Below are 27,317 nucleotides of genomic sequence, written 5' to 3' on the forward strand. Positions count from 1 at the left end.
TCTCAATTTAAATAAACTACATTAAGAAAATAATATCTATTTTTAAAGGTGTAGTGAATAAAACAATGGCCACCCATATATTTAACACCCGGTTTAATAATGGTCAATACAGTTAAAGCCTCCCTTTATTGTCCCCTCCTTACCAGATATGACTGCTTTTCTCAACTTGATTTTCATTCTCTTGTATTTCTTGACTTCTTTAACTACATATGTATGCATAACTAAGCAATATATAGCATTGTTTTACAAGTTTTAGAGTTGAATGTATATGAATTGTCATACTATTTATTTTTCTACATCTTTCTCTTTTTGCCTCATCACATTTCTGAGTTCAGTCTTCTTTTATTGGCGTATAATACTACATCCTAACATCCCATAAGGTATTTATTCTGTTATTGATGGACGTTTCTAATTTTTTGCTTCTACCCACAGCGCTGTTACGTACATCCTTGTTCACTTACCAAAGTTTCTACAAGACATATAGGTAGGAGCAGAGTGCTGGGGTTTAGTAATTGAAAACTTTTACTAGATTTTGCCACATTGCTTTCCCAAAGAGGTTTTAACATTTGCGCACCTACTAGCAGGTGCGTATGTTTAGACGTGTGGAGGAGAAACTATTTAAAGACATACAAACTAGATAATATACTTGCTTCATTCTCGTTTGACCTTCGTACCCAAGCAATTATTTCTGCAAACAAACAAATAAACAACTACTAATAGCACTTCCCGCACCGCCAGCCGCAGTTTTCCCTGCGGAGACGCGGATACAAGGCAGCTTCCGGCGAAGGCGGTGACGCAAAGGATGGCGTAAGCACGCTCGGGACGACGGCGTCCTCTTGATCGCCCTTGAAGGCCCCTTTCCGGGCTGTCTGACACGATGCAAGTGTCAGCTTGTGTTGGCCGGTTGCCTTTCTTTCGCAAGAGGGGAAAATATCCTCACAGACTTTCTGTGTTCTCAGAGACGATCTTCTTCCCTAGAAAGAAGTCGCTTACGGTTGGCGTTTCCCTCAGGCAGCGCCGTGGGCAGCCCACAGGCCCTTGTAAGGCGCGCGCCGCGGCCCCGCCTCTTTCCTTTCGGCCGGAACCGCCATCTTCCAGGTAGGGCCTACGCGTGGCTCCCGGGCGCTAGGTGTTCGACAGACTTGAACCGCGACCTTGTGGCCTCAGAGGTCGTTCATTGGGACCGTGGGGAGACTCTCTAACCTGTTTGAGGTCCATTGGCATGGGCGGGTTAAACCATGTTCTGCCAGACGGGGAGCAGCGTGCGCCGGGTCGGGTCTGGGCCGTGGGCTGAGAACCGGACTGCGATGTTGCGGCCCTGCGGGGGGACATTTGCGAGAAAGACGAGACTGAGTCGCTTGGGGTGAGGCGACTCGAGTTAATCTTTAAAAGACTTCGTTTTATGTTCCCGTGGCTGCATCTCCGGTACTGTGGGTGGCCCCTCTCACATAGGCTGTGTGGGGGCCGCGTGGCCTGATGCCTTTCTAACTCCTTTCAGTGTGGCTTTTTTATTCCAAATCTTGCGATGATGTTGGGTGAGGACTTAAGGGGTAGTAGGAATGGGTTTAAAGTCAGGCGTCGGCTTTAATCTTCTGTGAAGCCTACAGGTGTGAAAACCCGGGCTCTCGGTCGGAGAGTGGGTCCCGGAGTCGTCCTGGGTGATGAACCCTCACTGCCCTTAGTTAATGCATAAGACGATTTCCGACTGTTTTTAAAATTTTGACCCCACATGGTGATCGGACGAAGGGAAAGTGTTTTGAGGTTGCAACACCAATATTTGCACCAAGAGGAGATACTGTTTTGCGAATTCTAGGGCAGCATGCTTTGAGTGAAGGGAAACATTTAGCCATAGTTCATCATTTTGTCTAGTTTGTGGACGTCAACAGAGTCGAGCAAACTGCAGGTTGCTCTTTATGGTGGATCCTAGTTGCCATGATTTTAATACTCTTACAAACTGTAAAGCATCGTTTTGAAAAGTGCCTTCAGTTTTAAGTGTATGGGGTCCATGCTTAAAATGGATTCCAAACTCAGAAAGATGGATCTAGTGGAGGATTATGGGCTCTGGAATCAGGAATGAGTTAACTGATTATGCCACTTGGTGATTCCACAAAGTGACTTGAATCTACACAGTATCACCCTTTGTGTACTAACTTAGCACAAGTTTTTGGAACTTTATACACATCTAAAGGCTTTGGGGATTGGAACAGAGTACCTGGCATTTAAAGGGTTCATCCATTGTAACAATGGTTTGACTTTGGTGAGTTAGGTGAAACATGTCTTCTTGCTATACAATTTTTATAAAAATGGTACTTTGGGAGCCATTCTTAAAGGATTGTTGGTAAACTTAGAAACCAAATTGTGTTAGAATATTGTCAACACGTCAAGCCTGACTGCTGTATTTTACCTTATGGTAGGAGTAATGGCCAGGAATGGCATTTCTGCCCTATAATGACTAAAGAGCTATCAAAACTATTGTTTTGGCCTTTTTGGGAAACAAAGGAAAGGTTAATTTCTAAATGCCTGTAGGTGAATTCTTAGATAATGATAAATTAGCTGCCGGTTACTACTGAGCACTTTACACGGGCCAAGCATTGCTGAGTTCTTTGTAGACATTACCTCAGCTACGAAAGTGTTCACCCCTATTTTACAAATGAAGATGAGAGATGAAATGTGGGTGTCCCAGCTAGTAAGTGGCAGAGCCTATGTCAAATTTAGGTCAATGATTATAAAGCCTGGGTTCCCCTCTCTTCTACCCTATATACGTTCGTAGTAAATAATCAGAAATGTGAAGTGGCTTGAGATTTCTGATAGTTAAATAGATGATGTTTGAGATACACCATCACGGAAAATTTGGTTGACAAGAAAGGTTTAATTCACATAAAAATGTAAGGCTGTTTTATTGTGTTCTCCACTAAATTATCTTCTAGTTAGTAATTACATGCCCTTGGCATTCTAAATTGGGTTCTACAGATAGAGTGTGGTAGAAGTCCTGTTGTGTTTTTATATTCTCATAGAGAAAGGGTACTAGTTTGGATTCTCGTATCAAGTTCTGCTCCTTAAGAGTTTTGATGTTATAGAACTTGGGCAGTTTTGCCAAAAGACCTTACTTGCTAAAATAATGATTTTTTAACCTTTCAACAGAACTAACTGCTTGGTGATCCAGCTTTCAGTTTGCAGTTCTCACTTCGCTACTGAAATGTGAACATTTGAAATTACAGGGGTTTGGGGCAAATGCCAGTTTTCAGTCGTATTTGACTGTTCTGCTTTCTGGTTTCAGTAATTCGCCAAAATGACGAACACAAAGGGAAAGAGGAGAGGCACCCGATATATGTTCTCTAGGCCTTTTAGAAAACATGGTAAGTAGGTTTACCTTCCTTGAGAGAAGCATGGCACACATTTGTGTTCTGTTGTGTTCAACATGTGTTGTAGTTCATAGAATGTGTATCAATAGAATTAAATAACTAGCGTCTACCCAGCTTATTTCGTGATAAGGTAAATAAATTACCAAAATTATATGGTGATTTTGTGACTAAGTATTGATGCAAGATTAAACTTTGGAGAGAGGTTGTGATTTAGTAGGCTGATTGTGCTGTCAGGAGAAATTGTCCATTGGGAAGATAATAAGCATGTAACCATCAAAAATGATATATGTGTTAAAAGCTAGTAAAATTGCATTTCTTTTACTCTAGATTTTTAGCCTTAATACTCACTATACCAAATTTATTTTTGTAGGAGTTGTTCCTTTGGCCACATATATGCGAATCTATAAGAAAGGTGATATTGTAGACATCAAGGTAAACATAAAATTGGGAAAATAACACTACAGAAGATAGAAAAGTTGGATTTAATCTAGTGTAGGAATTCAAATACTAGTGTATGTTGCATCTGTAAGAGTATAGAATGGATTTTTTTTTTTTTTTTTTTGGAGACGGAGTTTCACTCTTGTTGCTCAGGCTGGAGTGCAATGGCATGATCTCACCTCAACCTCCGCCTCCCTCCCGGATTCAAGCAGTTCTCCTGCCTCAGCCTCCCAAATAGCTGGGATTACAGGCGTGCACCATGATACCTGGCTAATTTTGTATTTTTAGTAGAGAAGTGGTTTCTCCATGTTGGTCAGGCTGGTCTTGAACACCTCGGGTGATCTGCTGGACTCAGCCTCCCAATGTGCTGGGATTACAGGCATGCACCATGATTCCTGGCTAATTTTGTATTTTTAGTAGAGAAGGGGTTTCTCCATGTTGGTCAGGCTGGTCTTGAACACCTCGGGTGATCCGCCGGACTCAGCCTCCCAATGTGCTGGGATTATTACAGGTGTGAACCACCGTGCCCGGCCTAGAATGGATTTTTTAAAGTGCTATTCTTAGCAGAATTTAAATTTTCCTCATTACCCGCTTGGAGTTAACAGCTAGTGGAAATTGGGTGGTAGGGTGGGAAATTATGAGTTTATCAAGTTGGAAAGGAACGCCTTAGTGCAAAGTTTAATTATTGATGAAGATTACTATTACTATGATTAAAAACCCTCCTAGTGAAAGCTGTGTTCTTCTGTGACCTGGATTTAAATGTATCTTGGCACTCGAGCTTAATGATGACTGTTTTTTTTGATTGCTTGAAGCAATGTGAAAAACACATTTCACCGGCTCTGAAAGCTCTTGAGTTGCCATTTGAAAGAAATCTTAGAATACTTTGCAGTTACTTAAAGTCAGAATTTTAAAGGAAGGGGAAATGCTGGTATATAACATTGGTTTCTTTAATAGGGAATGGGTACTGTTCAAAAAGGAATGCCCCACAAGTGTTACCATGGCAAAACTGGAAGAGTCTACAATGTTACCCAGCATGCTGTTGGCATTGTTGTAAACAAACAAGTTAAGTAAGTAGTGTTGTAGTTCTTTGTGGCTAACCAGTATTCCCTCATATACCCCCTTTTCACTTTGCCAGTTGGACTTATGTCTTTATTGGTCATTCAAGTGGGGCAAAGGAAATATCCTTTTAAAACTCAGGCAAACTGGGTGTTTGTCTGTATCCTGTCAGAGGAAACAAATTGAAATAGATTTACTGGAAAGTCTTACACAGTTAGTTACTAAGCGGTTTGTTTGTTTTGTTTCGAGACGGAGTCTTGCTCTGTCGCCCTGGCTGGAGTGCAGTGGTGGGATCTCTGCTCTCTGCAAGCTCCACCTCCTGGGTTCACGCCATTCTCCTGCCTCAGCCTCTGGGGTAGCTAGGACTACAGGCGCCCACCACCATGCCCAGCTAAATTTTTTGTATTCTTAGTAGAGACAGGGTTTCACTGTGTCAGCCAGGATGGTCTCAATCTCCTGACCTCGTGATCTGCCTGCCTCGGCCTCCCAAAGTGCTGGGATTACAGGCATGAGCCACCGCGCCTGGCCCAGCAGTTTTTATAGAATAAAAAGAGAAGTTTAGTAAACTTTTAAATTTTATTAGCAGTCTGGTTTTAGATTACTAGAGTTTAAGAGACCATCATCTCATCAAAGAGAGTTAAAAGTAGGGATGTTCTCTGCAAGGCCTCTTCTGATATGATTAATTGATTGTAAATTAAGTAATCAAGGCATACTTTGTTGATTTGTCATATCTGGGTAAAAGGTTTATGGTTTATTTAATAAATGAAACTGCAAAATCAGTTTTCTACATTTCTGTTATATTTTTGTTAAAGCACTTAAAAGAATTTCTGCTCTGTCCAGGGGCAAGATTCTTGCCAAGAGAATTAATGTGCGTATTGAGCACATTAAGCACTCTAAGAGCCGAGATAGCTTCCTGAAACGTGTGAAGGAAAATGATCAGAAAAAGAAAGAAGCCAAAGAGAAAGGTACCTGGGTTCAACTAAAGCGCCAGGTAAGAATTTGGTGTATATTTCATTGGTTCTGAGAGCACTTTAAGGTTGAGATTTAACACATCACATAATTATTTTATTCCCTTTTTTTTTCCTTTAATAGCCTGCTCCACCCAGAGAAGCACACTTTGTGAGAACCAATGGGAAGGAGCCTGAGCTGCTGGAACCTATTCCCTATGAATTCATGGCATAATAGGTGTTAAAAAAAAAAATAAAGGACCTCTGGGCTACAAAAATGTTTCTCTTCATTGAGTAGAAGTGTGGTGTCCTCTCCCCCAAAGAAATATTTAAAGCAAATTTTGGTTGTGTCCTAATTCATTATGTAATGTCCTTGCTATTCAAATTTAATGTATTTCTTGCTGAAGGACATGAGGTAGCTTATTGTGCAACAAATTACTCAGAAAATGGCGAGGTATTATATATGAAATACTTGTACTGGTTTGAAGATAGTCCTTCTAAATCATCAAGGAAGAAATAAAATATTTTTTTTTTGAGACAGTCTTGCTCTGTCAACCTGGCTGGAGTGCAATGGTGTGATCTCGGCTCACTGCAACATCTGCCTCCTGGGTTCAAGCAATTCTGCCTCAGCCTGCTGAGTAGCTGGGATTATAGGCGCGTGCCACCACGCCTGGCTAATTTTTGTATCTTTAGTAGAGACAGGGTTTCACCATGTTTATAAGTCTGGTCTCAAACTCCTGACCTCGTGATCCACCTGCCTTGGCCTCCCAAAGTGCTGGGATTACAGGTGTGAGCTACTGTGCCAGGACAAATAAAACATACAAAAATAAGTGGGATGTCATCTATTGCGTAACAGTTAAGCTCAGGATCCAGAGTTTGCTTTTGAATCCTTAAAAAAAAAAAAAAGATTGTTTAAAGCATCCATTCTTTGTGTGTTATATACTAGCTTGGAATTGCTTTGACCATGCATGGAACAGGACTCAAAATAATAGTGGTAATAGCATTTGTCTTAGGCCGTTGTCTTGCTGTAACAATATACCACAGACCTGGGTAAGCAGTAGAAGCTTATGTGGTGGTTCTGGAGGCTCTGATGTCCCAAGGTAAAGGTGCTGGCAGGTTCGGTGTCTTGTGAAGGTTTGGCCTTAACTTACCTCTTGATAACTGCCACAATGGGAGTTCCTTTTTTTTTTTAATTGAATGTTTTATTTTGAGATAATTGCAGATTTACATGGAGTTACAAATAATAGAGATCCCTTGTACACTGTATACTGTTTGTCGATGATAACATCTTACAAAGCTGTAGTGCAGTTTCACAATCAAGATATTGATAATAGGCGGCCATGGTGGCTCATGCCTGTAATCCCAGCACTTTGCGAGGCCGAGGTGGGTGGATCACTTGAGGTCAGGAGTTTGAGACCAGCCTGGCCAACATGGTGAAACCCGTCTGTATTTAAATACAAAAATGAGCCTGCCATCGTGAGCACCTGTAATCCCAGCTGCTCTGGAGGCTGAGGCAAGAGAATCATTTGAACCTGGGAGGCAGATATTGCAGTGAGCCGAGATTATGCCACTGCACTCCAGCTTGGGGAACAGAGTGACTCCATCTTAAGAAAAAAGTGATAAGCATAAAGTCAATATGTAGAACAGTTCTAACGCCACAAGATACCTCATGTTGCCTTACGTAGTCAGACCACCTCTATCTCCCCTCATCCCCACTGATCCCTAGCAAGCACCAAGCTAGCCTTCATTTCTTTGTCATTTCAAGAATGGGAATGACCAGGAATCATGTAAGTTAGATGTGACCCTTTGCCTTTTTTGACTTTTTTGCCTTTTTCGGATGCATCTTTCTCTGAAGGTGCATCCAAGTTGTTTCGTGTATTGTGTGTATTTCTATTGCTCAGTACAATTCACGGTATGAACGTATCACAGTTTGTTTAGTCATTGACCTGCTAAAAGACATTTGGGTTATTACCAGTTGTTAGCTGTTGTTTTTAAGGCTGTTAGGAGAATTCATGTACAGGTTTTTGTGTGAATGTAAGTTTTCGTTTCTCTGGGATAAATGTCCAAGAGTGCAGTTGCTGGGTCTTAACGGTAGTTCCATGTTTAGGTTTCTGAGAAACTGCTAAACTGTTTTCCAGAGAGTTTTCTACCATTTTACGTTTCTACCAGCAGTGCATGACTGATGGCAATTTCTTTGCAACAATGGGGATTAAGTTTCATCATGAATTTTGGAGAGGACATATTAAAACAGTACCATTCAATTGGAAACCTTTACTTAGCAAACATGGGTCCTTGAAATGTATCCTCACTAATCTTACTGACTGTAAGTCCATTTCATCCCCTAATTGATTTTATCTAACCTTTGAGATTCTACACAGTCAGTCTTGTTGCTACCTACTTGGGGTGTATTTGCTGTGTAAGGCAAAGACCTAGTAATATTTACTAAATGCTATGAAAGATCAGGCACAGTGGCTCACACCTGTAATCCCAACACTTTGGGAGGCTGAGGTGGGAGGATCACGAGTCCAGGAGGTCAAGGCTACAGTCTGCTGTGATTGTGTCACCGCACTACAGCCTGGGTGACAGAGCAAGACCCTGTCTCAAAAAAAACCATTTTTTAGTGTGAATGGAGAAAAGTCTAGTTGGTGGTCTTGAGTTTTTTCTAATGAAGCGAGATGGGTGGTATGTACAGCTTTGGGATCCCTCACACCTGGATATGAATCTCTGAATAACTGCCCCTAAGGATTCACATTCTAGTAGTGGAGAGTTGCATGTAAACATAATTATCACATTAGTCCTGTGTATTTTCCAATCATAGTTCATGGCTCAACAATGCATCTAGTTGAAGTCCTCACAGCCTGTCCCTTTAGTCACACTTGCCTTCTTCCCTTCATTAAAGCAGCTTCCAGAGTCCACACTTACTCATTCTGTTAATACATAGCAAATTGACCAATATGACTAAGTTTTCTTACGTGGAAGGAGATAATAAAAGTGCCCCTAAAAGGGTGATTTTTGAGAATTAGATGGGAATACTTACAAAGCACATCATGATGTTACAGTGAATATTCAGTTACGACCAACTTTTGTTTCATATTCTGTTGCTAATTGAGAATTTTGCGTTGTTTCTTTACAAATGCGTGCCAGGAGTATTTTGGATGTCCAAAATTAAGTCATTGCCTTCCAGTGAATCTAGAATTTACTAATATTTAGGTTTTAAGAGTATATGTGGCCTCCTTTTGTTGGGGGAGGGGGTGTGGTATGTTTCCCTGTTTACCATTTATCTGCTTCAGAGAGCATCCATAAAATTGAGCTCTATTAATGAATTGGTATTATATGCCTAACAACATTTGTTGACCACTTGATCTGTTTCATCTTCCTGGCTGCTTTGAGATGTGGGGACTACCATGTTTTATGAATAAGATAAAAGACTCAAGAAGGGAGAATAACTCACCAGTGGTTACACTGCCAGAAAGTGGCAGAGTTGGGACTTGAACCCATGATCCTCTTATGCCAAAGAGTTACTCTGTTTGCTGTGCTGTTTGACTACCAAGTGGATCCCAGAAGACTCCAATAAGTTAGTGTGTGGGTGGGTGGGTGGTGGGTACCAGATAGTGTCTGGAAGACCACATTATTTTTTGTAACAGCTTTGTTGAGGTATGATTGATAACAAAGAACTGCACCTTCAGTGTGTACAGTTTGATGAGTTTAGACAATTGGATGAGTGTGCAAACACGTGATACCGTCATGTATGTGACCCTTTGTAATCTGGTTTCTGCTTGTTTTCCCTTTCACTTCCTGTTACTGCCTTCCTACTTTATGCTTTAGATATTAGGGAAATAGGTTTTTTCAAGTTCTTTGCACATGCACTTGCCTTTGCCTGAAACATTTAGGCTTTCCTTTGGTCACTTGATGAGTTCCTGCTTGTCCTTTAGCACTCACCCTGTATTATCTCATAGATGATACCTTCCCTGATGGAAGTATTTTAAGGAGAGGAATGAAGAAAGCTCTTGGAATCGGAGAAGAGAGATACTTCTGGTTGTAATAAAATCCCCCACATCTTTGTTCCCATGACAGATGTGTTTGCTTCTGTTACAGTGTTTTTAACTTGTAAGGTTCTGTCTTCCCCACTACACCTGAGTTTAGGGACTGTCTCTTACTAAATTTTGCACTCTTCATGCCTGGAAAATAGTAAGCATTCAATAAATGCCCTTCAAATTAACGAGAGGATAATGAGAAAAAGACTGCTCTTTAAAAAAAAAAAAGGATAGATATGTCTGTGTTCAATCTTTACAAAACTATAGTGTTTTCTGAATTTTGAGGACTTGTAACCATTTTGCATATGAATATGTAGGATTGTTAAACCTCCCATGTAACGTGCAAAGATCAGGAGACCTTAAACATTCTTTTGTTCATTCTCCAACAAGTCATGTTACCTTCACTTTTTGTTGCCTCATCAGTAAAGTGGTATCACCTACCTGAGTATAAGGGGTTGGATAAAATGATTCCTATAGGCCCTTGGTGCATTTAGGTCTATGATTTCATATTTTAACACAACCAGATGAAATAAGTAAATTGTGACTTGTCAACAAGGAAATGAGGATATGAGGTGTCAATTCAGAGGGGCTGATGAAGTTGGGCATGAGAGAAAACGATGACATGCCGAATTGACTTAGGGGAACTACTATCCTTAGCACAGATATTCAGAAAATGAACTCTTCCTATTTGATGTACAGCATAGCAATTTTTAAAACAATCAGTGGCAATACTATGAATATACATAAAATTTTAGTATTTTGGATTAATCTTCAAAAATAGATTTTCTCGCACAATACTGGGTTGAAGAATATGTGTTTTTCAAATTATTGATTCACTGATGAATTGATTTACCAAAGGGTTATACCAGTTTGCACTCCACCTTCCAGGGAACATGCTTGTCTCACAGCATTCTCATCAGCATTGATTATTTTAATTTAATCTTTGCTACTTTGGTGAGAGAAAATACTTATTATTGAGTTTGGCTTCAGTTAGCTTCTGGAACCCTCTCCTGGTTTCCTTTTACCTGATCTGCAGTCTTTGCTGGTTCTGTCTTTCTGACCTCCAAATATTGAAGTACCTTTATACTTCAGGTGAGATTTAGCCTCATGGCTTTGAATACCATTTATATTCTGATGATTATCATGGCCTACAAAACCCTACATTATCTGTACTATAGCTACCTTTGCGACCTAGTCTTGTACCACTTCCTGCCCCAAAGTCAGATCCAATTTCATGAGCCTTCTCGCTGTGCCTTTAATATGCCAAGTGCATTCGTGCCTGAGGGCTTTTGTAAGTAAGTTGAAGTACAAAATATGAAGGAATGCTTTTGAAGGAGCGTGTTATGCTATGAAGGAATGCATTTCCTTCATCCTTCCCCATGATTTGTCCCCTTTAGTCAGCCTCTGCTCGAATTTTATCAAGATCTCAATATCCTATACAGACTTTATTCATTTTCTATATTATAAGTTATAGTACTTATCATTACACAATATATGTTTTGTTTAGTCGTCTGAGTTTTTATCAACTTGTATCTATAGATCTTTATCAAGGGGAATTTTTTTTCTTTCACAGTGTCTCCCTCGTCACCCAGGCTGGAGTGCAGTGACACGATCAAGGCTCACTGCAGCCTCGAATACCTGGGCTCGAGTGATCCTCTTGCTTCAGCCTCCTGAGTAGCTGGGACTATAGGAGCATGCCACCACGCCCGGCTAATTTTTGTGTTTTAGTGGAGATGGGGTTTCGCCATATTGCCCAGACTTAATCTTGAACACCTGGGCTCAAGTGATCTGCCCACCTCGGCCTTCCAAAGTGTTGGGATTTATAGGCGTGAGCCAGCGCACCTGGCCAGTAAGGGGATGTTTACTGGTACCTACTCTACTGTGGAATGAAGGGAAAAAAGACACATCATAAAGCCTTATTAAGGAGGTGACAGTATAGGAGGAACAGTAAGACCTAAATCCCTTCATAAAACAAGGTATCAAGGAGGGTAAAAGAGGAAAGAGTTGGTATTGACAGGGCTCTTGCCTCTGCCCTCTTGTTTCACTGATTATCCTGGTCTATGCAGTGGCGTGATCTTGGCTCACTGCAACCTCCGCCTCCTGGGTTCAAGAAATTCTGCCTCAGCCTCCCGAGTAGCTGGGATTACAGGTGCCCTCCATCACACCCAGCTAATTTTTTTGTATTTTTAGTAGAGATGGGGTTTTGCCATGTTGGCCAGACTGGTCTCGAACTCCTGACCTCAGGTGATCTGCTCGCCTCGGCCTCCCAGAGTTTTGGAATTACAGGCGTGAGCCACCACGCCCAGCCCAACTTGCTGCTTTTTTGACTTCAGCCTGCAGGCTTGCAAAAACCAGCAAATAAACCAAGCAGCCCTTCCTGTTGTGCCTTCCTCCTCCCTTTCATAGCTAAATTTCCTGGTCGCCCACTGCAAATCTGGCTTCCGCCTCCACCACTGATGAAACTGTACTCTTAAAGGTTACGAAAAGCTTGCTAATTAACAAATGTAGATACTTTTTTCCAATTTAATTTTATCCACATAATAATTGACACAGCCAACAAATGCTTTCTCTTGCAGAGGGTTCTGCCATCATACTTTACTGTTTCTTCTCCCTATCTGACCCCCTTCTAGCCTCATTCTGGCCCCTCCTAGATGTTCCACATTTGTCTCTCTCTCCTTTATAAATTATTCCTGGGTTATCTAAGCCAGAGGTTCTTAAAGTATGATCTCCCAGCTGGCAGCATCAGCATCATCTGAGATCTTGTTAAAAATGCAGACCTGGCCAGGGCGCGGTGGCTTACGCCTGTAATCCAGCACTTTGGGAGGCTGAGGTGGGCGGATCACGAGGTCGGGAGATCGAGACCATCCTGGCTAACACAGTGAAACCCCGTCTCTACTAAAAAATACAAAAAATTAGCCGGGTGTGGTGGCAGGCGCCTGTAGTCCCAGCTACTCGGGAGGCTGAGGCAGGAGAATGGCGTGAACCCGGGAGGCGGAGCTTGCAGCGAGCCAAGATTGTGCCACTGCACTCCAGCCTGGGCGACAGAGCGAGACTCCGTCTCAAAAAAAAAAAAAAAAAAAAAATGCAGACTTGCCCAAGACCCTCCAAATCTGAAATACTGGGGATGGGGCCCAGCACTCTATTTAACAAGCTCTCTGAGTGAATAAGATGCATGCTCAATTTTGAGAACCACTGGTCTACGTCTTTAGCCTTCTCTGATACTTGAGGCTCAGTTGCAGAGCTCACATTCTCTGAAGCCCCATATCTGTAGTTCCATCTTCCTCTTGGGCAGCTCCATCTGGATGTCCTGCAGATTAGGTTTTATAAGTGGGGAGATAATTAAATTGGAACCTCCGAACTTTGAGTAATGTGTGTGTGTGCTGATTACATGTCTGCCTTGAAATGCAGGTCCTGAGCAACCACCACAGATTGTGAATTTATAAATTAACCTCTTACTGTCCAATTTCCCTTCTTACACTTGTCAGTGAAAATGAAGAAAAATATCCTAACTATAAATTTTTTCACCCTATTTTTAAGTAATAGCCATGATTGTAAGTGAGGCTGTGTGGTTCCTTGAACTTTGAACTGAAGTCTGTTCTGATCTAGCCAGGTATTTTCTAAGGCCTTCTATTTTTATTCAGTTGAAACCAGTCCCAAAGGGTTAGATAAAATATATCACACTGTTTTTTGAAGTTTTCTTCTGAATGTTGTGGCAGAAACACACACTCAGGTTCTTGTCTCTTCCATATTCCCACTCCTGTAGTAGCATTTTCTCTGTACTAGGATGGAAAATTTGCTAAAATATAAAGAATTGCTAAAATATGAACAAGGTAGGTTTATCTTACTCTTTTTTTGTGCACAAGACAAAGGATTTAAAACTGGGTTGGATTTATTTGGAATGAGTGTTTATAGCATGTTTCTTCACCCCAGCTCCACTTAGAAAAAAATTGATAGCAAAAATCCTTCTCCACAGAATCTGTTCGACCAGTTGCTAGGTTATGAATAATAACAGTGAGGCAGCAGCTGCAGCTGCTGTTGCTGAGGTGGAAAATGTGCACAGAGGAGTGAATAAGCAGCCGAGGCTCTGCACTGTGATTCTTTTCAAACAGCCGTGTGTGGCGAGGAGCTGCTGACAGGCCACCACACAAAGCCACTAATGGAAGAGGCACACAAATGCTGTCGTACACACTTCTCCAGCAAGACTTGGATTTATGGAAATCATTTGGGTTGGAAAATAAATGGGGTACTCTTTACTGTCTCTGTAAAATGAGATGATGGCTTAGCTCAAGTGAAGATGATTGGATTTTTTTGGTTCCACCTAAGAAGGAAGAGAGGTTCAGATTAAATTAATTGCTCATGGGAGATGAGTAAGTAAACAGTTTTAAGATCTTTGAGGTCAGAGACCATATCATTTTGTTTTGTTTTTATTTTTTGAGACAGGGTCACCCAGGCTGGAGTGCAGTGGCACAATCACAGTTCACTGCAGCCTTGAACTCCTGGGCTCAAGGGTTCCTCTCACCTCGGTCTCCCAAAATGCTGGGATTACAGGCATGAGTCACCACACCAGGCCCATATCCTATTATTTGTAAGCTCCTAGTACTCATACTGTTGTATGTACAGTCTGCTCTTTGTGTCTGTATCTGTGAGTTCTGCATCCATGAACTCAACCAAGCTGGGATGGAAAATATTGGGACAAAAAATTGCATCTGTTCTGAACATGTACAAACTTTTTGCTTGTCATTCCCTAAGCAATACAGTATAACTATTTACATAGCATTTACATTGTATTAGGTATTATAAGTAATCTAGAGATGATTTAAAGTAGGAAGGAAGGGCCGGGCGCAGTGGCTCACGCCCATCGTCCCAGCACTTTGGGAGGCCAAGGTGGGTGGATCATTTGAGGTCAGGAGTTCGAGAGCAGCCTGGCCAACATGGTGAGACCCAGTCTCTACTAAAAATACAAAAATTAGCCGGGTATGGTGGCACACGCCTATAATCCCAGCTACCCAGGAGGCTGAGGCGGGAGAATTGCTCGAACCCGGGAGGTGGAGGTTGCAGTGAGCCGAGATCACACCACTGCAGTCCAGTCTGAGCAACAGAGTGAGACTCCATCTCAAAAAATAAAGTAGGAAGGATGTGCATAGGTTATATGAAAATACAACACTCTTTTTATATCAGGGACTTAAGCATCCCTGGATTTTGGTATTCTCAGTGTGTCCTGGAACTAAAGCCCTACAGATAACCCGAGAAACAACTGTAGAAGGAGCTCTTCTCCTCAAGAAATGATTAATGGCTTTCCATAGCCTCTGGATAAACTTTTTAGCATGCCATTCACAGTCTGGCCCCCAGCCTTTTGGGTCACTTACCACACCCTTCTCACTGTTGAGACTACTCAGAATTCCTCACACTTGTCATGTACCTCCATGATTTTGCGCATGCTGTTCCCTCAATTTGACAGGCCTTCGCCCTCCCCTGGTTTCCACCGATCACACCTGACTCACCTGCAGCCCAGCTCATGCTGAAGCTTTCCCTGATACTTGGATCAGACCTAACTCTCCCTGTGGCAGCTCTGTTGGAGTTTGCATCCTGACCTGCTCTGGCCTTCCATTACCAACACAGTGTTCTACAACCTGCTTTCTTTATTTTGTATTTTTTTTTTGAATTTTGAATTTTTTGAGGCAGGGTCTTGTTCTGGCCCACGCTGGAGTGCAGTGGTATGATCACAGCTCACTGCATCCTTGATTTGGGCTCAAGCAATTTTCCCACCACATCATCTTGAGTACCTGGGACAACAGGCATGCACCACCATGCCTGGCGAATTTTTCTTTCCCCTCTGCTCCCCTCCCCTCCCCTCCCTTCCCCTTTCCTTCCTCCCTCCCTCCCTCCCTTCCTTCCTCCCCTCCCCTCCCTCCCTCCTTCTTTTCTTTTATTTCCTTCTTTTTTCTTTTTTTGTAGAGACAGGGTTGAACACTGGCTTCAAGCAATCCTCCTGCCTTGGCCTCCCAAAGTGCTGGATTACAGGTGGGAGCCACAGTGCCCGGCTCTGCACCCTGCCCTCCATACCCGTGGAATGTGCCAAGATTAAAACTCAGAGGGCTTGAGGCCTGCACCACTATATGGCTCTGTGACTGGATAAGTTACTCAATTTGTCTAAACCACAATTTAGAGGATATTCTTTACCTGTTTCACAGGATTAATTAAAAATTAAGATAATATTTGAGAATTTTCTTGGTAAACTCAACAGTAATTTATAAATGATAGTGAATTTGATAAATTTCTTCACTACAGGGATGTCTGTGAAGGCAGGCAGGAGTGTGTTATACTTTGCTGTCTTAGTAAATGTTCGCTGCTCTTTATGTTCTGCGCAAGCACTTATCACAGAGCCTCACAGAGTCAATTTTCAGTAATTGTGCCTGCTGAGTTGAAGTAAAATAGGGAGCTGGTAGAGGGCAGAGCCATGATTCCTGTTTAGGGAGAGCACCTCAAAGGCAGGGGCTCTGAGGCTCCGGTAAACTCAATAGTCAAGGACTTAGGATATACAGGAGAGGGAGTTGATGTTGGGTTATGGCTGGGGTGGGGGAGTTGTTTGTGAACAAGAGGAGGACCCTTGGCAAAATTTTGCCTGATGACTAGAATTCAAGCTTTTATTTGACTGGGAAAGAGTTAATAACTTCCCAAGTGTGCTATTATTTGCATATTACCAAACTCTGGCCTTTATGCTCATTCTAAACACCCACAGATTTGTATATCTGTATCCATGCCTACGCATTTCTATTATCTTTTTAAAACCACTTCAGCACGCCTGTTATATTGGTTGCACCATAGTTTTACATAACTCTGGACACAAATTTAAAAGGAAATGGCAGAACACAAGCAGCAACAATTTAGGCAAGGCTATTTATAATTCTACAGTTCAGTCACTTACTGTCTTCACTAGAAGGTCATGGATTATTTTGTATATTTATAAATGCAAAGAGCTTTTCCAAGGAGAATGAAATAACATGTTGAGCTCTTCTGAGCAAAGGTGCAATGTAAATGCAAAGTGGAACATAATTATCACTGGGCAGAGAACAGTCTTAGGAATCTTCCTTATTGGCTGACCTTAAGCTACAATGGTCTTATTCCAGACTGGGAATGTAAAACAGAGAAGGAGGTGAGGAGAGACAGAGATACTCAGCATTCCACCAAGAAAGGACTCTTTTCCCTTGAAAGTGCTGGATTTTCACTCCAGGAAGGTGAATAGGGTTTATGGCAGATCTCCTTGGCAGTCATTCTCTCTGTGAGTTCTTGATTTTGGATGGGGGTGGTGGTATGTCCAGCTAGAGGGAGGAATCATGATTGTCTAAACTAGTCATGGCCATCCCAGTCTTCTTTGCTAGATACTTGAGTAATCTCTTTCCCAGTTTCTCTGTTCTGGCCAGTGAGATGTAAGAGAGAGTCTGCTGAGTTCTTGTGAGAACTGCTTTATTTCATAAAGAGAACAACTAAGAGAGTACTTCCTTCCCTTCCTGTTTGGGTAAGGACTTGATGCTGCAGGAGCCACCCTGCATCCATAAAGGAGAAGTCAAAAGGAATCAGAGACAACAGCCCAGACCCCCATCACGGAGCTGCACGTGACCCTGGAACTTAACAGCTTCCAGTTGTTCCCTAGACAGTCATTGTCTTTATGGTGCCTTTTCCCCCATCAGGGAGGAAGGTGCCTTGCTTCAAGTCTTTTCAATTAAACTGCAGTTTAACAGAGAAAATTGCCTTATGAACAGTCAAAAGTCAGTACAACTTAAATATGGCAGTTTATCTCAGGACATCTCCCAGCACACGTCTTCCTGAGAGCAAGCTGCTCTCAAAACCAAGGCAATGGGAAAATGGTCAGAAACATGACTTCTGTATTTTCCAGTTCATACACTGAAGACAGCATTCATTCATTCATTTGGAAAGTCAGCCAGTGAACAAACATTTATTAAGGACCTTGCCAGTCCCAGGTGCCACTATGTGCTGGGTACTAGAGTCACAAGCTAGAGTCCCTGTCCTCCTGGAGACAGACATGAAACAAATATTCCACCAGAAAGTAATGATAGTTGAGATCAGTGCCCTGAGAGTGAGTAACTGCAAGATAGGGGTGGGGACAGTGGCAGTGATCAGAGACGGCTTCTCCAAGGGAGGAACATGTAAACTGAAGTCACCATCTAGTCTAGATTAGTTTACTTCAGGATTATTCAGAATTCTGCAGATAAGAAATGAGGCCGGGCGCGGTGGCTCACGCCTGTAATCCCAGCACTTTGGGAGGCCGAGGCGGGCGGATCACGAGGTCAGGAGATCGAGACCATCCCGGCTAAAACGGTGAAACCCCGTCTCTACTAAAAATACAAAAAATTAGCCGGGCGTAGTGGCGGGCGCCTGTAGTCCCAGCTACTTGGGAGGCTGAGGCAGGAGAATGGCGTGAACCCGGGAGGCGGAGCTTGCAGTGAGCCGAGATTGCGCCACTGCACTCCAGCCTGGGCGACAGAGCGAGACTCCGTCTCAAAAAAAAAAAAAAAAAAAGAAATGAGAGCAGTAGGGATACAGAGGGAGACACCAAGAAATATAGGAGGAGAAATGATGGAACTTGGCGATTAATCAATGTGGAAGTGAGAGAGTGGGTAGAGTCAAGGATGTCTCCCAGGCTTGGGCCACTGGGTGGATGGAGACACATTCATTAGCATGGTCAATTACAAAAATGGACCCCATTCTCCATCACTCTCTGCTTCCTTGCCCTTTCACACGTGACTTTTCTGCTGTTTCCACAAAGGGGCGGAGTGTATTTCCCTACTCCTTGAATATGGGCTGGCCCCATGACTTGCTTTGGCCAACAGAATGCAGCAGAAGGGATGGGTTCCTTCTCAAGGCCTAGGTCTCAAGAGGCCTTATCCATTTCCACCCACTCTCTTGGAACTCTGCTCAGCTACCATGAAGGCAGGCCCTGGCCAACGTGCTGAATGAGAAGAGACATGTAACTCAGTCACTACCCTCCCTCATCACAGCCAACAGCTGCCAGACATGAGTAAGGCTATCCAAGGGCAGCCAGCCCCCACTTCCAGAACCTGGAAGCTCCCTGCAGATGCATCAAAGGGCTCAACAACTGTAAGTGATTGTTGTTCTAAGCCATCTAGTTTGGTGTGGCTTGTCATGCAGCAAAAACTGGTACAACCAGGGTAGAGAAAGGTATGAATTAGGGTGGGGCTGTCTAATAGGCGATTAGGCAAGTGAGGCTGGAACACAGGAGGTCAGAGGCATGAAGGTCTTCTAACTGTTCAAGGTTAAAGTCCTGAGGCTTCTGCTGTGCTATTTCTGGTGGGCTCCAGAAATCCAAGAACCAGTCTATAGCTCTGTGTCCTGTTCCTCACACTGCCCCCCACCCCACCCTAGACCCCACCATGCACCTAGAAGTAAATATTTGGATACTGAAGCAAATGCATGACTCAAGCACATAGGATAGTATTAATGATGGACACTTAGTGCAGGGCCAGGGCCCCCAGCCAGTGGAGTGCTCATGAGTGTTCAGGAATGAGCCAGTGCAACCCCTGCCTGCAGAGGAGGGGCTGGGCATGGATACTGAGATGCTAACCATCACTGCCCCTAAGGGGACTTCATCTATCCCTAGCAAGGTCACAGTGACTGCAGTTGCCTCCACTGATACTAATTCAGAGCTCTTGCCCCCCGCCCCCCGCCCTTTTCCCATATTAATGTTACCCCTTAGCATCTTTTCTTTTCTTTCTTTTTTTTTTTTTTTTGAGACGGAGTTTCGCTCTTGTGGTCCAGGCTGGAGTGCAGTGGTGCCATCTCGGCTCACTGCAACCTCCGCCTCCCTAGTTCAAGCGATTCTGCTGCCTCAGCCTCCCGAGTAGTTGGGATTACAGGCGCCCACCACCACGCCCCGCTAATTTTTGTATTTTTAGTAGAGACAGCGTTTCGCCATGTTGGCCAGGCTGGTCTTGAACTCCTGACCGCAGATGATCTTGCCCACCTGGGCCTCCCAAAGTGCTGGGATTACAGGCGTAAGCCACCGCGCCCAGCCCCTTAGCACCTTTTAAAAATAAAAAGGGCAGCGTTTTACAGCAATCTGTCCCATTGTTGCAGAAACATCCAACTGATTGCACTTTTTCTTCTTCTCTCGTCAACTCGTAACTCCTATCTCAAGTTCACCCACAGGTCTAGTGACTCCGGCTGGCTGCTGCGGGGCGAGGAGACTCGCAGAATGCCTGACTAGAGGCCACTCGCGCGCTCTGGACGGTGGCCGTATCTCCAGGGTCTGAGCCCCGGAGCCGCAGTCCTGCCGCAGAGCGCCTGGAGCCGCGAGCAGCTAGCAGCCCGGCGAAGCGCACAGCCTCGGCGATAGTCAGCTCCGCGGCCTCTGCTCCCGCCCCTCCCGGCCGCTCCGGGAAGGGGCGGAGACGAGGAGGAGCTGGGACGGCCGCCGCGCTCCCGGGCGCACCAAGCCCTTTAAAAGCCGCGGGCCTTGACAGTTCTGCAGGCAGCCGCCGCGGTCCCGGACCTCTAGTCCCGCACTCCCAGCTGGCGAGCCGGCTCCGGGTGCGGCGAGGCCCAGCCCTCTCGGATTGCGCGCCGGACCCCGGGACGCGCTCCATGCGGCCGCTCAGCATGTCCGGGCACTTTCTGCTCGCACCCATCCCCGAGTCCTCCTCGGACTACCTACTGCCCAAGGACATCAAACTGGCGGTGCTGGGCGCCGGCCGCGTGGGCAAGAGCGGTGAGTGCGGCGGGGACCCCCGGGCGGCTTCGCTCCCCGGCTCCGGCCGCGACCACTGGGGGCGCTGCGGAGAGAGGGCGCCTCGGCCGAAGCAGAGGGCGCGGGTGCAGGTAGAATCGGGCTGCTTTCGCGCTGGGTGGGTCCCGGTCCGTCCCGGCCTGCTTCCCTGGCGTTTCCTGGTGCATCTACTCCTGGGATCTCGGCGGGATTGGCGCCTGTTCGGGGATGGGGTGCGGGAGAGGTGTCCCGCCAGTCGTACTCGCGGCCAAGCCCGCGGCACCACGGCTTTGCGGAGCCTCTGGAAGCGAGCAGTGCCCACGGTTCTGCACCCTTCACTCCCCCCAGTTTGTCCGAGGTGCCTGGGTTTGACAGGCTTGTTCTACTCCTTCGGTTGATTTTCCTATTTCCTTTTCAGCAATGATCGTGCGCTTCCTGACCAAGAGATTCATTGGAGACTATGAACCGAATACAGGTGAGAATACTTTCACGCTCCCTGCTTTTATGCTTGCGTGTTTCTTTTTACGGATGGGAGTTTGAGAATTAAAAAGCAAACTCTACTTCATTCTCCAGGCAAGCTGTATTCACGGCTGGTCTATGTCGAGGGGGACCAGCTCTCCCTGCAGATCCAGGATACTCCCGGGGGCGTCCAGGTAAGAACCGCCAGGGGCAAACAGCTCACCCCCACCCGTGAGACCACCCCAGTGGGCACAGCACGTAGGGCGCCCATGCTGGGCGCAGGGGTCTGAGCAAGGCATCTAAACCGACCTGTGCGTTTAGAGGGAGGAATGGGCTGTCCACAGGTGGGGCCAGTGGTTGGGGTGTTAGAAACTCTCTAAGGGGGAGGCATGGTTAGAAGCAGCCTCCTCTTGTTAAGCACCTGACTTAACTTCACTTTGCAACCCTGGTGGGCCATCACTACTTAAGCAGGTCTCACCATTTCTTCCGGAGGTAGCCATGGAACCATTAACAAAGAAAAAAACGTTTAAAACAAAACAAAACAAAACAAAAAAAGAGGTAGGATTCTGATGGGAGAGACTCTTCTCCCCTGGCAAGCTCTGCTTTTTTTGAGACGGAGTTTCACTCTTGCCCAGGCTGGAGTGCAGTGGCTGGATCTCAGCTCACTGCAACTTCCGCCTCCTAGGTTCCAGCGATTCTCCTCGATTCTCCTGCTTCAGTCTCCCGAGTAGCTGGGACTACAGGCACCCGCCGGAACTCCCAGCTATTTATCTATTTATTTATTTATTAGTAGAGATGGGGTTTCACTATGTTGGCCAGGCTGGTCTCGAACTCCTGACCTCAAGTGATCCGCCCACCTCGGCCTCCCAAAGTGGTGGGATTATAGGCATGAGCCACAGCGCCCGGCCCAAGCACTGCTGAACTGCTGCTGTTAATGGCTGTTCCCTCAAGTCAGTAATTGCAATCAGATAACCCCTTGGCAGAGGGTCTAGAATGTAACTTGTTTATTAACCAGTTACTAATTGCTACTCCGTTCTCCAGAGGAAAGGTCTTGTGGAAGAACCCTAAGAAAGGAATTTCTTTCTGTAACATTCTTAAGAAGTGCATGTTAAAAATGTTTTTATGAGTTTGGGAATAGATATTTATCTTGGCTTATTTTCAAAGTTTTGTTTATTATGAGTTAGTGTTTCCTAAAACTTGAGCCATTCTGGTTTGAGGTCATTCTTCAGTCAGCCATGGTTCACCAGAGACTGCCTGACAAGCAAGGGGTTTAAAAATAATGCAGGGATAACAGCTAATAAAGTAACTCAGGCAGGGAGTTTGCCTGGGAATCTGTTCTTTCCATATCAAAAGCCTGCTTCTGCAGAAGCTGGGTGGAAACTGAAAACTGTATTTAGAGATTTCTTTTTCAAGTGTTTCTTCAAGGGTTGCCTTGATGTTGTTTTGAGTTTATCTCCCACTGAGGGTTTCCTTGACTGGATCTCATTTTGATGTTTTCTCAGATCCAAGACAGCCTCCCCCAGGTCGTCGATTCCCTGTCCAAATGCGTGCAGTGGGCCGAGGGTTTTCTGCTGGTCTATTCCATCACAGACTATGACAGCTACTTGTCCATCCGACCCCTTTATCAGCACATCCGGAAGGTCCACCCTGACTCTAAAGCCCCTGTCATCATCGTGGGCAACAAGGGGGACCTTTTGCATGCCCGGCAGGTGCAGACACAGGACGGTATTCAGCTAGCCAATGAGCTGGGCAGCCTGTTCCTTGAAATTTCCACTAGCGAAAACTACGAAGATGTCTGTGATGTGTTTCAGCATCTCTGCAAAGAAGTGAGCAAGATGCACGGCCTCAGTGGGGAAAGAAGAAGAGCCTCCATCATCCCTCGGCCCCGCTCTCCCAACATGCAGGACCTGAAGAGACGCTTCAAGCAGGCTCTGTCTCCCAAAGTCAAAGCCCCCTCTGCACTGGGGTGAACTATCTCAGACAGATGCCTCTCCTTTTTAATACGCATTTGTGCAGCTAAAAGACTGGGCTTCTCGCTTTTTAATCACACATTCAGAGTTTATTTTTATAAAAAAATTGATTTTCAAGTACATGTGTATTTCTGAAAATTCAAACAGTGATTGCCTAGAAGCTGGATAAAATTTTGTTTTGTTTTATTAAAAGAACTTTTTTTTTTTTTTTTTTTTTTTTTTTTTTACTGTAACTGCTGGCCACTTTTCCATTAAAGGCAAAATGGCAACATTGCTCATTGTTTTCTCAATGTCTTTTTATAGAAATTGTACTTGCACCAGCGCCCAGTGCTGCTCCATGCTTGCCCTCAGTCTGAACTCTGATTGGTGTCTCGCAGTGGGGAGGAGTTCATGTAGAGGGAGTCTGTTGTGGGAGAAAGGAAAGTATGTGGAGGAGGAGAGGGATTTTAATAACGGCAGGAGGTCTTTAAATGGGACACTGCCACCAGTCATGAAATTGACACTGTGTGATTTTCAAGGGAAGGGGTACAATGCTAAAACGTTACAAGCCATGAGTAACATTTATTGGTGCAAATGCAAGTTTATACTCTACCCATATTAAAAAACAACCCCTTTTCTAGTATTCCTTATGTCAGTAAGTGGACCCTACCACCCAAAAGTTGCCTCAAAATTCTCCTTCCCTTCCAATAGGGCACCAGATATGTCCATCCTCACTCCTGTTTTTCTCTAAAGCCTCACTGTCCCTTAATCTAGACCTCCCTTTGACTGGCAGGCAAGAATCTAGGCAAGACTCATGTTTCTTGCCTTCTAGAATGACATCTCCTAATTGTCTCTTCACATCAGAACAATGCTACTAAAACTAACCCTAATCATTTTATTTCTATAAAAAACCCAGCTGGTTTCCCCTTAGCTACTGGTTAAGATAGACATGAGACATGGCATCAAGATTCTTTACCACCTCTCCAGGCTTATCAACCCCTCCTTCCAAAACACACACCAGCAGTCAGTCCATTCCAACAGATTGTCTTTCTCAGCTGCTCCAGGCTCTTTCATGTCTTCCTGCCTTGGCACAAACTATCCCTTTGCCTCAAATATTTTTTCTGATTCTACACATAATGGCTTGCTAACTCATCTTTAAAAACCCAAGTCACATGCTATATTCAGCTCTGAAATGCCTTCTCTGGTCTTCCTCTATTCCTGGAGCATTTGTGTTATAACCCAACCCTGTCAGGTAGCTATTTGTTACTCCATTAGAAGGAGTCCCCCTCGAGGGCAGTAGCTGCATTTTATGATCCTGTCTTCCAATCTTCTAGTTCAGTGCTTCCCCATAGAGTGGTAAGTTTTAAGTAAACATATAATGAATAAATGAATGAATGCACCACTTATGGTGCCAAGGGTCAATGATGGGAGATTACCATGAAACAAATTGTTACTTCTGCAGGGCAAGGACAGGTGTTCTGAGTAATTAAAGATAGCTGTGGTGGAAAGGGACTGACATATGCAGCTTCTGGCAATCACAGACCATTACCCTTCCAAAAGGACAGCTCTGTCCAGACCTGTGATGTCAGCACCACTTTTCCCTGTAGTTGAAGGGAGTCTACCTATACAAAATGGCATGAAGGGTTAAGAAAATTAGATGATGCATGTCTAAAAGAGTGTCCAAATAAAATATTAATTTGGATTCCATCTTTTAAAAAATGCCTCACATTCTCCTTGTTTGCGTGCTCTCAAAACAAAAGCTCTGTCATCTGTTCTGCTTCCTGCCGTGCATCTTAACATTGTAGGTGTAGACCCAAGAACAACTGATTCTCCTAGTCCCTGCCATGCCTACAACATGTCCAGACTGCCACCTGTCACCAGGGGCTTCTCTGCCTTCAAGGAACTGAGATCAAACATCCCATGGGAAAAAGTTAAATCATAATCTAAAAGCTAAAGAATAAGACAAGAGATGTCCCCAGGCCACCTATGATCAAGTTTCAAATGAGTGAATGGTAAGAACAGAAAGTCATCTTGAGCTCTTTAGGGGAGCAGGCTGTGGATCAGAAGGGTCAAAAGATGAGTCCCAAGGCCATTTCAAAGGGACTCACAGCCTTGTGGGCTCAGGCAGGCTGATGGGCCAAGCAGAAATCACCCTACCCTGTCTTCTTTCTCTCCCAGCATCATAAATAATTGGCCTCCAGGGCTTCACGGCCAGCTTTATTCTCTGGTCCCTGGAACTGGCCCAGCACAGGAGCTGGCTTGCTGGTCATGGAGAAACTTCGTTGCCTGTGACCGCTCTTTCCCAGGCCTCCTGCTGATCAGCAGTGGGGTCTCTTGGGGATCATGGCATGGTGCTTAGGGAGCATCTGGAAGGCTCCTGGGATGGTAGCCCCGGAGATGGAAGAGGTGAGCATGGAGTTTTTGGAAAGCGGTTAGATGGGGAATTTGTGTAGGGAAGAGAGCTGAGGATATGGGCTTGGCTGAGTGCTAAGGAAGCCCTAACAGGGGAAGCTGAGCTCTAAGCCAACATCCCCTTCCCTCACCAATGGGGAGGGCATAGTTGAGAGAGCCATGGGTGTCATTATTTTGCAGGCGGGGTCAGAAGTCCTGAAACACTGGACAGAACATTGGGTAGAACATTAAAAAAAACTTGGTGGATGTGGAGAGAACAGTATCTGTGCATTTTATCCAATAGTTTTGCCTTACCTCTGAGGTGTCACGGCCGGTGCAAGAATTTACCTCTATCCTCATGAGAGAGGTGGGACTGCGGCTTCCCCCACCCACTTCACCTCCCTCCTCCATCCCTGCCTCTGTGGGAAGCATCCCTGTCTCAGTGGGAAAATCTGTCTCTGAAACCCCCAGGCCTCCACTGCTGGCACTCGTTCTCCTTCTGGTCAAGGCTCAGTCACTGATTCTGCTTTAAAACTCTGCAGAATGATTTAATTAATGTTGCAATCAGTGTCGTTCTGGAGAAATGGATGCAATCCAAAATGGCTAAATTGTACATCCTGCAAACATTCCGTACTTCACATGCAACTCATGAGAAGCAAACTCGAATAATGGAAAAATAAGTCAATTATAATAGAAGAAAATAAATTTGTTTTGCTTGTGTTTAGGCGAAGGGCACAATGGAAGTTCTAAAGTTTATTAATATCTGTTTAGAGAAATGGATTAAAATAAATACTGAGGAAGGCAGTGGTAAACAATAGAGCAAATAAAAAAGACAAGATGACTGTTTAGTCATAAATTGGGGCTCAAATTGCTTTTTTGTTCCTTGTATATGTTGCGATTTCAACTTCTCATTATGCAAAGTTACCAATTCAGATTTACAATGCAAATATATTTTCTGTGATTAATAAACTATTATTACCATTTACTCTCTCTCCAAAAGGTGGAATATTTTGAAAGACTTTGTTAAAATTAGTTTCAAGCTACTGTGGCACTTAGGAAGAAAGATGTGATATGGAAAAAAAAAAAGATTATTTTCCAAACACCATTAATTGAGCTAGGGCCCTAGAAAAAAATTAATCTATGGAAGTGATGATTTGGTTGCAATGGCAAAGCAGTTTTCAGCATAACAGAGTAGAAATGTGCCTATCTTAGATGAAATGTCCAGAAGCCTCCCATGTCTGGATCTTCTTGTGTACTTCTCCTCTAGTAGAAAATCAGCTCTGTTAGGATTTGACTGAGTCCTCATTTATCTTCAGCTCCACAGCACCTGTTCAAGTGTCCAGTACACAGCAGGATCCTCAAAAATATTGGCTAAGCTGAACTGTTAAAAATATTGGGGTCCCTAAAGTTATTTTTTTATTGTTCACGAGAACAGAGGTGTATTAGTCAGGGTTCTCTAGAGGGACAGAACTAAAGAACAGATATATGTATGTAATGGGGAGTTTATTAAGTATTAATTCTCACAATCACAAGGTCCCACAATAGGCCATCTGCAGGCTTAGGAGCAGGGAGAGCCAGTCTGAATTCCGAAACTGAAGAACTTGGAGTCTGATGTTCTAGGGCAGGAAGCATCCAGCATGGGAGAAAGGTGTAGGCTGGGAGGCTAGGCCAGTTTCTCTTTTCACATTTTTCTGCCTGCTTATATTCTAACCGCAATAGCAGCTGATTAGACGGTGCCCACCCAGATTAAGGGTGGGTCTGCCTTTCCCAGCCCACTAACTCAAATGTTAATCTCCTTTGGCAACACCCTCTCAGGCACACCCAGGATCAATATTTTGTATCCTTCAATCCAATCAAGTTGACACTCAGTATTAACCATAACAAGGGGTATATATCTATATCCTGAGTTTTCTTCGTCAAACTGTCAGAGACAGCTCCTT

At 44.2% G+C, this 27,317-nt stretch overlaps 2 protein-coding genes and 2 non-coding genes across 6 annotated transcripts, besides 8 other annotated features; all 4 read left to right on the plus strand.

Moving 5' to 3' along the window:
* Positions 375-1,574: an enhancer, noted in NCBI's record as "BRD4-independent group 4 enhancer chr13:27824999-27826198 (GRCh37/hg19 assembly coordinates)". NCBI's record gives its function as "activates an origin of replication core promoter dependent on BRD2, P300/CBP, MED14 and CDK7 cofactors, and independent of BRD4, by STARR-seq in HCT116 cells {active_cell/tissue: HCT116}" and the evidence as "EXISTENCE:reporter gene assay evidence [ECO:0000049][PMID:35650434]".
* Positions 393-978: an enhancer, noted in NCBI's record as "OCT4-NANOG-H3K27ac-H3K4me1 hESC enhancer chr13:27825017-27825602 (GRCh37/hg19 assembly coordinates)". NCBI's record gives its function as "activates a minimal SCP1, AML or CMV promoter by ChIP-STARR-seq in naive H9 embryonic stem cells {active_cell/tissue: H9 hESC(naive)}" and the evidence as "EXISTENCE:reporter gene assay evidence [ECO:0000049][PMID:30033119]".
* Positions 786-1,325: an enhancer, noted in NCBI's record as "active region_7501". NCBI's record gives its function as "activates an Ori minimal core promoter by ATAC-STARR-seq in GM12878 lymphoblastoid cells {active_cell/tissue: GM12878}" and the evidence as "EXISTENCE:reporter gene assay evidence [ECO:0000049][PMID:35858748]".
* Positions 979-1,564: an enhancer, noted in NCBI's record as "OCT4-NANOG-H3K27ac-H3K4me1 hESC enhancer chr13:27825603-27826188 (GRCh37/hg19 assembly coordinates)". NCBI's record gives its function as "activates a minimal SCP1, AML or CMV promoter by ChIP-STARR-seq in naive and primed H9 embryonic stem cells {active_cell/tissue: H9 hESC(naive and primed)}" and the evidence as "EXISTENCE:reporter gene assay evidence [ECO:0000049][PMID:30033119]".
* Positions 1,071-6,081, plus strand: RPL21 (ribosomal protein L21). The gene is made up of 6 exons (NM_000982.4): positions 1,071-1,098; positions 3,278-3,356; positions 3,733-3,794; positions 4,755-4,867; positions 5,697-5,847; positions 5,949-6,081. The coding sequence occupies exons 2-6, from the start codon at positions 3,290-3,292 to the stop codon at positions 6,036-6,038; spliced, it is 483 nt and encodes a 160-aa protein (NP_000973.2). The 5' UTR covers positions 1,071-1,098; positions 3,278-3,289; the 3' UTR covers positions 6,039-6,081.
* Positions 4,577-4,648, plus strand: SNORD102 (small nucleolar RNA, C/D box 102). The gene has a single exon (NR_002574.1). It is a non-coding gene; the product is annotated as a small nucleolar RNA, C/D box 102 (small nucleolar RNA).
* SNORA27 (small nucleolar RNA, H/ACA box 27) lies at positions 4,914-5,039 on the plus strand. The gene has a single exon (NR_002575.1). It is a non-coding gene; the product is annotated as a small nucleolar RNA, H/ACA box 27 (small nucleolar RNA).
* Positions 19,805-20,305: an enhancer, noted in NCBI's record as "H3K4me1 hESC enhancer chr13:27844429-27844929 (GRCh37/hg19 assembly coordinates)". NCBI's record gives its function as "activates a minimal SCP1, AML or CMV promoter by ChIP-STARR-seq in naive and primed H9 embryonic stem cells {active_cell/tissue: H9 hESC(naive and primed)}" and the evidence as "EXISTENCE:reporter gene assay evidence [ECO:0000049][PMID:30033119]".
* Positions 19,805-20,473: a biological region, named in NCBI's record as "H3K4me1 hESC enhancer GRCh37_chr13:27844429-27844929".
* Positions 20,254-20,473: a silencer, noted in NCBI's record as "silent region_5198". NCBI's record gives its function as "represses an Ori minimal core promoter by ATAC-STARR-seq in GM12878 lymphoblastoid cells {active_cell/tissue: GM12878}" and the evidence as "EXISTENCE:reporter gene assay evidence [ECO:0000049][PMID:35858748]".
* RASL11A (RAS like family 11 member A) lies at positions 20,343-24,705 on the plus strand. 3 transcript variants are annotated; one of them, NM_206827.2, is made up of 4 exons: positions 20,343-20,581; positions 20,997-21,053; positions 21,152-21,231; positions 22,540-24,705. In NM_206827.2, the coding sequence occupies exons 1-4, from the start codon at positions 20,458-20,460 to the stop codon at positions 23,005-23,007; spliced, it is 729 nt and encodes a 242-aa protein (NP_996563.1). In that variant the 5' UTR covers positions 20,343-20,457; the 3' UTR covers positions 23,008-24,705. The 3 variants fall into 3 exon arrangements, with proteins under 3 accessions (NP_996563.1, XP_024305115.1, NP_001318055.1); XM_024449347.2 differs by lacking the exon at positions 20,343-20,581 and adding an exon at positions 20,673-20,691; NM_001331126.2 differs by lacking the exon at positions 20,343-20,581 and adding an exon at positions 20,690-20,717.
* Positions 20,514-20,743: a silencer, noted in NCBI's record as "silent region_5199". NCBI's record gives its function as "represses an Ori minimal core promoter by ATAC-STARR-seq in GM12878 lymphoblastoid cells {active_cell/tissue: GM12878}" and the evidence as "EXISTENCE:reporter gene assay evidence [ECO:0000049][PMID:35858748]".
* Positions 24,706-27,317: the final 2,612 nt, after the last annotated feature.

The sequence above is a fragment of the Homo sapiens genome, chromosome 13, assembly GCF_000001405.40.
Source record: "Homo sapiens chromosome 13, GRCh38.p14 Primary Assembly".
Taxonomy (NCBI): domain Eukaryota; kingdom Metazoa; phylum Chordata; class Mammalia; order Primates; family Hominidae; genus Homo; species Homo sapiens.